General features: G+C 36.3%; 1 protein-coding gene across 4 annotated transcripts in view; it reads right to left on the bottom strand.

Annotated features, from left to right (window-relative positions):
- Nucleotides 1-12,610, bottom strand: part of EPC2 (enhancer of polycomb 2) — a 142,819-nt gene that overhangs the window by 25,892 nt on the left and 104,317 nt on the right. For all 4 annotated transcript variants that reach the window (NM_015630.4, XM_011510941.3, XM_011510943.4 and 1 more), the window contains one exon: nucleotides 7,545-7,751. In NM_015630.4, coding sequence (NP_056445.3) covers nucleotides 7,545-7,751 — 207 coding nt within the window. The remainder of the gene's footprint in view (nucleotides 1-7,544; nucleotides 7,752-12,610) is intronic.

Raw genomic sequence — 12,610 nt, 5'->3', positions numbered from 1 at the left:
AATGTTAAAAAAAATCTGAACAGCAACCTATGTAAGATAACCTATAACTATTTAACTCTGAAAATATAAGTACAAGCAAGTATCTCTCGACACTCAGAAAAAAAATGTTGCCAGCTGTTGAAAAGGTAGAATGGCATAAAGAGATAATTTCAATGTAAACAAACAAAAAATGTCCACCTGAAACAAAATCTGTTATCAGAAAATGTAGTCCATTCAGCGTGTAGGAAAGTATTTTCCAATGACAGAGAGGAACAGTTCTGTCCAGATCAAGGTAACAGTCAAAATGAGTCCCCTCATCCATTCATCCATCCATCTCCAGCTCTGTAACTGGGGGCTGGATGGTTTGATACACTGTACTATTATGTGAACATGAACAATGACCAGTAAAGCTTCACTTCAGAAACTCAGAAAACTGAAAGTAGGATAACAACCATTTCAAGAAATCGGACTGTCAATTTTCAATGTAAATGTAACACTCCACTGCTGAGTAGAAAAGAGATTTAGCAAAAATACTGAATTTCAGAACACTGTTTATTAGCTTTTCAACTAATTATTATACAAAGTGAAAGCCCTGCTACATAACTAGAAAAGGCTCAGTTGTAATTAGTAGCATCTATTTGCATATAAAATTATTACTAATATAAACTATTTTGTTAAACATCCACAGATTCCTCACTTTACTATTAGGCATGGAACTATTTGTTTAAAAATAGACCACTACCACCTCTCCAATCTATGCATCCAGAGTGAACTGTACTTAAGCAATCATTCATGCCTTGATTTAATAATCTGAAATGACATTAGAAAGAACCTAAGGAATACCAAAGGTTTCATATTGGAGGATTATAAAAGAGAAAAATAACAATTGAGAAAAAGTCAAAGTTATACTCTTTTTCTTTTGTGTATAGTTTCCTGCATTTGAAAAATAATAGTCATATATTAAAAATAACCTACACTAAGTCCCATTATGGTATTCCACATCGAATATTAAAAATAAGTCATCCTTTTGTGTAATTTTAAAAAATTCATCTTTTTCTTCTTCATTACTATGACAAAAGGTAAATCTAAAGCATATGTTTAAGCATTTTTTTAAACAGGCAGCAATAATACCTTTCAATTAAAAAAATTAATATTTTCGACAGCAACTATTAAAGTGCCTACACTGTGCAGGGTATTGCACATGTCCCTTACCCTCAAAAGGCTTAGAATCTAGTAAGGATGACAGACAGAAAACAGATATACAGAATTGTAAGGCAGATAATAATATGAGGTTACATGCCAGCTGGCAGCTGAATAATATTCAAAAGTGCACCAGAACCTTTTAGATGGCTCCCCTGTTCAGTAAGTGTTCCTCTTGGAGGTTCTACCCTGTCTTATTCATATCTTGTTTTGCTTTTGTGTGTGTGTGTTTGTGTGTATGTGAGACAGAGTCTCACTCTGTTGCCCAGGCTGGAGTGCAGTGGTGTGATCTCAGCTCACTGCAACCTCTGCCTCCCAGGTTCAAGCGATTCTCCTGCCTCAGCCTCCCTCCTCCCTCAGCCTCAGTAGCTGGGATTACACGAATCCACCATCACACCCAGCTATTTTTTGTATTTTTAGAAGAGATGGGATTTCACCATGTTGAGCAGGCTGGTCTCAAACTCCTGACCTCAAATGATCTGCCCACCTTGGCCTCCCAAAGTCCTGGGATTACAGGCATGAGCCACTGCCCCCAGCCTCTGTTCTCTTTATGCCCAAATAATTATCGTTCCTAACTTTCCTTTCCCCAGTCTTGTCCTTTTTTTAAAAAACAAATAAAAAACAAAAACAAAACCTTTTTGTTTTGAAATAGTTTCAGTCTTACAAGAAAGTTACAAAAACAGTATAAAGAATTCTCATATATCTTCATCCAGATTCTCTAAAGGTTAATGTTTTACATTTGCTTTATCTCTCTGTATGTGTATACATATATGTATGTATGAATATAAACACACACATCTATAAATTATCAGCAGTACTATTTTTGAAAAATTTCAAGAGAAGTTGAAGATATAAAATGCCCCTTTATCCCTATATACTTTAATATATATTTTCAAAAAAAAATGATATTCACATAGAACCACAGTACAATTATTAAAGTCTGGAAATTAACATTAATATAATCCTATTACTTAATTTCTTTATACATATAAACTTTATTCATATTTCAACAATTGTCCCACTAATGTCCTTTACAGCAAAAAATATAGTTACTGCTATAAGGACATCAGTAAGATAATAACTTTTATTATAATAGTACTTTTTTTGGCCGGGCGCAGTGGCTCACGCCTGTAATCCCAGCACTTTGGGAGGCCAAGGCGGTCGGATCACCTGGGGTCAGGAATTCGAGACCAGCCTGGCCAACATGGTAAAACCCTGTCTCTACTAAAAATACAAAAATTAGCTGGGTGTGGTGATGGGCGCCTGTAATCCCAGCTACTTGGGAGGCTGAGGCAGGAGAATCGCTTGATCCCAGGAGGTAGAGGTTGCAGTAAGCAGATATTGCACCACTGCACTCCAGCCTGGGCGACAAGAGCAAGATTCCATCTTAAAAATAGTAATAATAATAACAATACATTTTTTCCTGGTCTAGGATCTGACTCCATATTAAAAACCACATTTGGTTGTCATGTTTCTTTAATCTTCTGTAATTTAATCTCCTTACAATTGTTTTCTGTATCTTTCAGTGATTATGATCTTAACATTTTCAAAGACTAGAGACTATGTTGTAGAATATTCCTCAATTTGGGTTTCATTAATGTTTTTCCACGATTAAATTCAGGTTATGTATTTTTGGTACAACTACCACAAAAGTGGTATTGTATCCTTCTCATGTCATATTAGGAGTTAGAAGATACTATTTGTCCCATTACTGCTGATATTAACTTTGATTGCTTAAGATGGCATCTCCCAGGTTGCCCTAGTCAAATACTATTTTTCCCCTTTAAATTAACAAATATGTTAGGCCGGGCACAGTAGCTCATGCCTGCAATCCCAGCACTTTGGAAGGCCGAGGCGGGCAGATCACTTGAGGTCAGGAGTTCAATACCAGCCTGGCCAACATAGTGAAACCCCGTCTCCACTAAAAATACAAAAATTACCCGGGTGTGGTGGCAAGCGCCTGTAGTCCCAGCTATTTGGGAGGCTGAGGTAGGGGAATCACTTGAACCCAGGAGGCAGAGGTTGCACTGGGGCGAGATTGCACCACTACATTTCAGCCTGGGCAACAGAGTGAGACTCCATCTCAAAAAATAAATAAATTAATTAATTAACAAGTATGTTGTAGGACTACAGAAACACTATTTTACCATCAAACTTCCCCCCTTAAGTTTAATATCCATTAGTTCTAACTTTTGCCTGAAATAATTATCTGCATTATTATGGTGGTTGCCAAATAGTGATAATTCTAATTCCATCATTCTGCCAACACTTACAGCTTTGGAAATCTACTGTAAGGAAATGCTGTCTATTCATCCATCCACACCCACCCACCCACCCACATCAGTATGGACTCATGGGTTACTCTATGGGGTAGAATCCATTACTTTCATAATCTATTTTGATGCTCAAACTTTCCCAGCTCTTATCAGTGGAGTCCCCTTTCAAGCTGGCTCCTGCGTCCTTCTGACATGGCTCCAACATTCTTCAATCATATTCTTATTTTCTGGCATAATAAACTGTGTGTTCCAGGCTTATCTTTGTATTCCAGCCCTACACCTGGAATAATTTTCCTAAGGAGTCCTGGTTCCCTTTAATGAAAAACAGATTTATTTTATTTTATTTTATACAGTATTTTATTTTATATATTTTATTTTATTATTTTTGAGATAGAGTTTCACTCTTGTTGCCCAGGCTGGAGTGCAATGGCGCAATTTTGGCTCACTGCAACTTCTCTCCTGGGTTCAAGCAATTCTCCTGCCTCAGCCTCCTGAGTAGCTGGGATTACAGGTGCACATCACCACATCCAGCTAATTTTGTATTTTTAGTAGAGATGAGGTTTCTCCACGTTGGTCAGGCTGGTCTTGAACTCCCGACCTCAGGTGATCCACCCGCCTCAGTCTCTGAAAGTGCTGGTATTACAGGCCTGAGGCTCCATGCCCAGCCAAAAAACAGTATTTAAAATCAAGATCTACATGCTAGACATGCCCATTTCTACTGGGTGTCACTGCTTCTAGAGACTCTCAGTGAACAGAGCTAGGAAATATGTATGTAATATATGTATGTACATATATGCACAGATCTATATCTATTTCTAACTATATCAATATATATATATTTTGTTTTGAGACGGAGTCTCGCACTGTCACCCAGGCTGGAGTGCAGTGGCGCGATCTCGGCTCACTGCAACCTCCGCCTCCCGGGTTCAAGTGATTCTCATGCCTCAGCCTCCCGAGCAGCTGGGAGTACAGGCACCTGCCACCACGCCCAGCTAATTTTTTGTATTTTTAGTGGAGATGGCATTTCACCATGTTGGCCAGGCTGATCTTGAACTCCTGACCTTGTGATTCGCCCGCCTCAGTCTCCGAAAGTGCTGGGATTACAGGCGTGAGCCACCACGCCCAGCCCTAACTATATCAATATTAAAAACCACAAGTTCATATTGACATTTTTTCTATTCTTCTAAGACGGCCCTATTCCCTGTATTCAAATCCACTTGCCCCCTTTACTCCTTCTCACAACCGTCTCTGCTCAGGGCCAACTCCTTTCTCCCTAATACAGTTACATATTACAGTTCTGTACTTGCTGCCAAATCTCTAGGGAAGTGGTTCTCAAATGGTTACACTATAGAATAAACTGTACATCTTTTCATGACCAAGGATGATTCACAGGTGACTGTTATGTAGAGCAGCTAGAACTGACAACCACTACGCTGGGAATTTCCTCTCTTAACTATCTTACTTCTTCTGGGCCTCACAGAGGGAAGAGAGAAGGCACAGACACTAAGAGTTGAATCTATGTGGTTAAATATATTAAATGCATATGCTGATCTAGGATTTCCCAATCAGTGCATTAAGACATGCTGGTGCCTTAAGACTATCTCATTTAAGAATGCCCTGAAGTATTCACATGCTCCTTAATTAAATATTAGTTCAGCGACTTAAAATTAAATTCCAGACAGCCAAACAAATATTTCAGAAGACCTTTTACCCTTTGCATCAACTACACAAGTGTTTTTGACTTTGCACAAACAGAAAACAGAGAGCCTTTGTTAGTTGTATTCATTTTTGCATAACCCAATGCTTGCCACCTCCTGAACACCTAGGGAGTATTCATTATTTGAGTGCTTTCCCATTTTTCTCGTTTCAAATCACATAAACATTTCTAACTAGCAATGGTGAGCATGATAGGGAATCGTCTTTGGTCCCACAACTGAAAACAGAAAGGAATAAAAAGTAAAGAGCATCAGAAAAGAAAGTGTACCTCTTTGCAGAGGAAAATGGAAAAATAACAAACAAGAGAAAGGGTAGGAATCAGAGTGTCAGGAAAACCTGTATTAGTGATCACAAAATGAAGAAATGCCTAAACACAAGAATCAGTTACTAGCAATTCTCTAATGGTTAGAACAAAAGAAGCAGAAAACATATTTTAACACTCAGAAAATATTGTCAATATGCCAATAAATACTGCTAATCTTAAGTATTCCATACCCATTCACTAAAGGAAGTCCAATAATTTCCTTCAAAAGGCATTGCTAATGGTCTGTTTTGCAATATATCTGAAATTAATTACAGTCATGCATTGCTTAATGACACAGATAAGATCTGAGAGGTTGGATGTGGTGGCTCACACCTGTAATCCCAGCACTTTGGGAGGCCAAGGCGGGAGGACAGCTTGAGCCCAGGAGTTCAAGAACAGTCTGGGCAATACAGTAAGATCCAGTCTCTTAAAGAAATAATCGAACAAATAAAGATCTGAGAAATGTGTTGTTAGGCAATTTCTTTGTTGCACAAATGTCACAGTGTACTTACATAAACCTAGAAGGTATAGCCTATTGCTGCTAGGCTACAAACCTGTACAGTGTGTTACTGTACTGAATACTGTAGGCAACTCTAACATAAGGTAAGTACTTGTGTATCTAACATATCTAAACATAGAAAAGGTACAGTAAAAGTACAGTATTATAATTTTAGGGGATCACCATCATATATGCAGCCCGTCAGTGACCGAAATGTTATGCAACATATATATGACATATTTAAGGGTTGAAAATGAACCCTTCCCTACTTCTCACGCCTGTATACTGCTTTCAAAAAGCGATTGATAGTTCAGGGTTTTTTTTTAATGATTTAGATAAACCTCTCTTTCCTCATGTCCAATAGTCCACATTTATAAAGTCTTAATATATTTATGAACTTATCTTGTTTCAGTCTTAGAAAAGTGCCAAATCTTCATAAAATATTGTAGATTCCCTTAGCTAAGAACCAGAATGCCAAATTAAAAACTCAAGTCTGGGTTAGGGAATGTCATCTACACTTGGGAAATCCATCCTCTAATGTTTAAAAAAATCACATCCTCAAGAATTATAGAAATTCTGGTTATTAACCAGGAAGAGAGTTTTTCCTAAAATATACTATCCTTGGCAGCTGTCATGCTTCACAGCTGTTATATTAACAGCTGACAAGGACAAGCTTTCAATGTTAGGAGAATCCACAGAAAATGCTTTGCCTCCAATTATAATTCCTTATTTTACATTTATACGTTCCTGATACTTTGCAATGTTAGAGAAGGTACTACTGTGTGTGGTGTTAACTGTTAATTATGAGAAATGGAAGACAGTGAATACTCCTCCAGAACAGTGCTTTCCTCTATACCATATCATTTAACAGTATGAGATCCTGTTTCTCTTACTTAAAATTCTGCTTCATACTGCTTCTGAAAGCCAGATGGGAACAAGCTCATCAATTTGAAATCGAACACAACTGACAACTCAGAAAAGGAGAAAGATTCCACTCTTACTTCTGACTGTTTGCAGAAGAGGGTTGAAAATGAACCCTTCCCTACTTCCCACGACCTTGTAGCAGCCAGAGGCAGCAAGGTCCATTTTCACTTGGAAGAACTACAATATGGTTTCCAAGGAACTGTAAAGTCTCAAGCGAGCAACAAGGAATAGTAGTAGTATTTCAAGTTATCAGCTTCCCAAACACAGGAGATCTGTGATAGAATATTTAGTTTACTGAAGAGATCAAAACTTCCAAGGTGCATAAGGACACTAAATTCCTCTTATCACTTCAACTGCAAGCATAAAATGGTATGATCAGTAAATTTATAAAAGGCATAGGTAGCAGATAAACAGCGTAAACAACTGGCCAATAGAAGCTACTGAAAAGTAGGATTTCTTGTGGTGGGCCAGTGGCGCAATGGATAATGTGTCTGACCACGGATCAGACGAAAAGTAGGATTTCTTATAGAAAGTCATCAATGCCATTAGCTACCATTATGTTAAAATTATTCAAGTTATTAGAAAAAAAAAGATTGATCTTGAATACTATTAAGCTACCTTCAATGAAACCTAATTTGCACATTACCTTTCGAGTTTGCATTTTCTCTGTTCTTCTCCGAAAGGCAACATAAGGGTCATTGTTGGTAGAGCCATCTCTTTTCTCTTGTTTTATCTGAGGAATGAGGGATGGCCCCCTGCAGTTTTTACGTTTTCTCACCCAGTAGTCATATACAGCTTTAATAAGGTAATCATCTTCGTTTAGCAGCAGTTTTGCTTCTTGAAGTGTTACAAGCTAAATGAAAAATACAAAATGTCATTGGCTACAATGTTTGCAAAAAGAAATAAAAGTTAGCTTATGGCTGTAGAAAAAAATGCGACCAGTTTCAATAACTACTAACAGATAATATTATAGTAAGTGAAGACACAATTCAATTCAACCTAATGAAGGAATCATTAATTAGGAGATTTATCTAAAAATTAGTAATTTTCCCTGAGAGACAGTGAGTTGTACCACTGATAATATTTAAGAAGGCTGGATCAATGATATTTGGGAAGACTATAATAAATATATGCCTCAGGCAAGTCTTGGACTAGAAGACATCCAAGATCTTTCAAAACTCTGATATTATACACATTTGAGGATCTATCAGTTTTCAAGTCTAATAGCTTGTTTGTTCCCCTACACAAAGTAGGAGGTATGGGGGTTTCTTTTTATGTGCGTCCAAAATAAAAGATGAATATTCTCTAATATATTGCAATTTACTATAATATACCTCTTTCGGAATTGATTATAAAAACAAACTTAGCATGTTTCCAGAAGTTTCAACATTATGCAATTTTGAATTCTTTGTACCAGTGACATATAAAATAATTCCTCTATCCAAGTGTTAAGTACTAGAGAATACTTATTCTTAACACTCATTCTGCTAATGACAATGTCATGTCCTGGGACAGTGGCCCTAGGATGGTTCCCTTAGGAGCTCTAATGCTGGTATTTCAGGGACCTACCTCTTTACCAGTGCAGCCAGCATAATGCTGACACATCTCAAATTAAGGCTGTAAACATTTGCTTGGTCATATTTGTTGCCTTGCACCTCGAGATCGGATAAGACAATCGGCTTTAGCAGGATGGAATGGGGGTTACACATATCCATTTACAGCAAACATTAGAAAAAGATCATGCCACTTTAGGGCTGGGAAGTCTCCCTGAAGTGATGCTATCTCAATCTTTTTACTTGTATTATTTTAGAGATGAAGGCTCATTTTCAGAAGCTGAGATATTTCCCAAGAAATGTTTCCCTAGTACTTGGAAATGAAAATTTTTCTCATTGAAATTATAAGATCAATATAAAAATTGACCTGTATGTTGTATGAAGTCTATTGAAGAACTCAAAATTCACCAAATAAATTTCTCATGATTTCTTGTGTTGGTATAACTTCATGGAATAAATGCACTGATCACTGGACTTCAAGTCCTATGATGATTATTTCTAGAATTAATTCATCGGTTTCTTATTGTAATTTGTCTGCCTAGTTTGACCACAGGAAGAGAACACACTGACAATGTCAACTCAAGTATTGTAGTCCATGTCACAATTACATTTAGTGCATTAAAATACTAAGTGGCCATTCTATGGTTACCCAATCTCTTAGTAGAGGTAGCTTAACTACATTTGAGAGGCTGCATTTGGTCCTTAAAGTGGATAGCCAGAGTCTGGAAAATAAGACCACACCATAAGAACCAGTATTTCCAAACATCCACCTTTAAGTGGATACCTTTCTACCATTAGCTGGAGTTCTCCGGAATGGTGATGTCAACCCCAGTCTACAACAACAGTGGTAGAATAAGAACACAGCTTTCTAGATCTAATAAAATTCTACCTTGTACTGACAGCAACACGGCAGTTCTCATGTGTTCTGGAGGCCAAGGGAAACAATTCTGTGATGTGTCACATGTTCTTCAGCTTCTTGATCATTTCACTTCTGATAAAATTTTGTTACCTTCACTACTAAATCAAGAGCTTAATCTAACCTCCGAATGGGGAGAAGGATAAGTGCTCTTTCCACCAATCAGCAGAACGTTAATGAGTTTCTTACATAACAATACTCAGGTTTAACATTGCTTCTTATGCTCCTGCATGGTATGTTGAGATTAAAATACCTGCTCAGATTTCTTTCTCTGGTGCTTCTTGCTCCAGCTTACAATGTGTATTGCCGTGTTGTTAAAAGCCGTCTTTATATCACAAGTAATAAGAATTCAACACACACTTTACAGTTAAACATTCTGATATTTCTTTCCAGTGTTAACTAATTTTTCAGTTCACTGCTGTATGTTGTTATAAAGCAACTTTCTATTTTATGAGTAATCTTGGTTTTAATAATTCTGTAAAAATTATCTTTAGCTACTCTGAGGCAACTAGTATCACTGTATCTCTATTGTGGGTATAGCATCAATTTGAGTGGGGAAGAACTACTTGTAGATAAATCAGTCACACATTATTAAGTCACATGATTAAAAATCTGCAAAATCAGAACTTTACTATTTTTATACAGTATAAAAAAAGTTCTGTCATTTAGCAGCCAGGCACAGTGGCATGCAACTGTAGTCCTAGCTACTCGGGAGAGTCACTTAAGCTCAGGAGTTCAAGTCCAGTCTGGACAGCATACTGAGACCCCCTAACTCTAAAAAAATTAAAAATAAAAATGTTCCATCATTTAGCACGTAATTCATTCACTAAAAAGCAGTAGAAACCAGTTACTTAACTGGCAAAAAAGTCTGGTAAATTTATTATTTCCAAGATAGCTCTGAGTTGATTTACATTATTTACTTACAGGGATGGGGAGATAAAAAAAAATTATCCTACCATATAGGCTTTTCTTCTAGATGGCTACTAGCTCTATGAAGACAAGGACCACTTAGTCTGTTAATCAACAAAATCTGTAATTTCAATAAATATATTTTGAATACATAAACGAATATATTATATGTAAAAATTAATGTATTCTAATTTATAAAACATTGAGTTAAGCAGTAATTTAATTTACAAAACAGTCAACTAGGTAGTTATTAAAAATTAACTACCATCAGCCCATTAATGGGTTATAGAATGTGGGGAAGATAAGGGAAAAAACTTTAAGATGAATTTGCTACCTAAAGAAACTCATGACATGGCAACAAAGGTAAGACAAACACAAATTAATTAATAAGGGAACAATGTGAAAACTTTGGAACTGAGCATTACTGTAATAAGATACAGGGCAGAGTAGGACAAATTTCCATCTGGGACTGCCTATACTGTGTTCAGGGTTGATAAGTGAACACCTCTTTGCTACACAACTTCTTTTTTAACTTTACTTCTTTCAAATCTATGGCTTATTATTTGTGTAACAGCCTAAATACTACCAAAGGCAGGCTTCCAAATAACAAGCATTTACATTAAATTCAAAAAGAGTTAAATGACCACTTTTTACCTTATACTCTTCAAGAATGAATGACCACAGCTCAAAACCAACACACTGAAATTATGATTCTAAATAGATAACACTGGAAACATCTTATTTAGCAAATGACCCCTAATTTACACAATGCCACAAAATTACGGCAAGCCAATCTGAAATGAAAACATCAGCATTCAATGAAATCAAAATATACATGGTTGCACATTTTGAGTATTCTGCATAAATTAAATTAAGGAGAAAACATTTTCTTCTCCAAAGACCCAGAAAATGGAAGAAGTCTTCAGACTACAACAACAAAGACTGGTAGAGTTATAAAGTTCTCCTGTCTTTGGGTAAGTGCCCAAACATAAACCATGTGCTACTTTTTTTTTTAAGGGACATATGCCTACATCAAAAAAGAAAATAGCTGTGTAAATTCGAAGACTGCTAATGCAATACAGCTAAATGAAATACTTTTCTCTCCCATAGAAAGGTGATACTAATCCATTAAAACACATATGATCTTCATGCTTGAGATGACTATTTTAGAAGGATTTATCAATTCATTTCTTCCTCTAAAGTTTTCCACTATAGTTTTCTGATTCTCAACAGTGTCAACCCACATTGAACCACAAATAGAATAAGGAAATTAGAATGATAAAATGATCAGAAAAAAAAGATCTCTTCAATTCCATGAATAATCTTCTAAGGTCTTCAAAACTGTCAAGAATTCTATTAATCTGCCGTTTAGGAGACAATTCTGTCTACATATTGATAGATCACTGATGCTGAAACTAACCTTCTCTGCAGTCATAGGAATGACCCCCTGATCTTTTAATAATATAAAGTTAAAACAAATCTGGATAGGACAACACTTTAAATGAGATGAAATGGAAGACATAAACTCAAATTACTTTTATAATCTGACTGCTCATTAACTTTATATAACATAATTATAAAATACATGTACACACACATTACAGCATGGTATGGTGGTTTTAAAATTTTATTGTGTGATGGGGTTCACTGGGACTGCTTCAAAAGATCTAGACCAAATTTCATTTTTAATACACAAATACTTTAACATCATAGTAAAGAACATATCCATTTCAACATGCTACATACTAAATTAAAAAATACAAGAGGCACCCTCTCCCATGTAAAAATGTACTTGTTCCTAGTGCACGTGAGAACCACATTTTCCTAACTGCCACTGCTTGTGGTCTGCCCCATCCAAAGCATAATCAATAATGCAGTATCAAGTAAACAATTAAAATGCTGCATGATGAAAAAAAAAAAAACCGATGATGTGATTATTATATTGAGTTTTAGGCGCTTTTAATTTGAATTTTCTAAGTACAATGAAGGTTGAGAACATGTATCAGTCAAAGTTTCTATTTGCAAGCAATAGATGGAATTTATTTACAAGATACTGGATAGTTCTACACCTTCAGAAGTACTGGTGAATCAGGCTTGGAATCCATAATGCCTAAAATCAGGCCACAGAACTGATCCAGTAGGGAAACCACTGCTGCTGGTACTATGAACACCACCGGCATGAGGACTATAGCTGGAACAGCAAATATTTAGTCTTACACTACAGTCTTAGTAAACATGTAGCCTGTATCCCAAGGTGATAATTTTACTAAAAACTATTATAAATAGAGGACCTGGCATTACAGGCAGAAGTAACAATGTAAAGCTATAAAAGGT

Source organism: Homo sapiens, chromosome 2, assembly GCF_000001405.40.
Source record: "Homo sapiens chromosome 2, GRCh38.p14 Primary Assembly".
Lineage (NCBI taxonomy): Eukaryota > Metazoa > Chordata > Mammalia > Primates > Hominidae > Homo > Homo sapiens.
The sequence above is the reverse complement of the archived record's forward strand: the minus strand, read 5'-3'. Positions and strand labels throughout refer to the sequence as shown.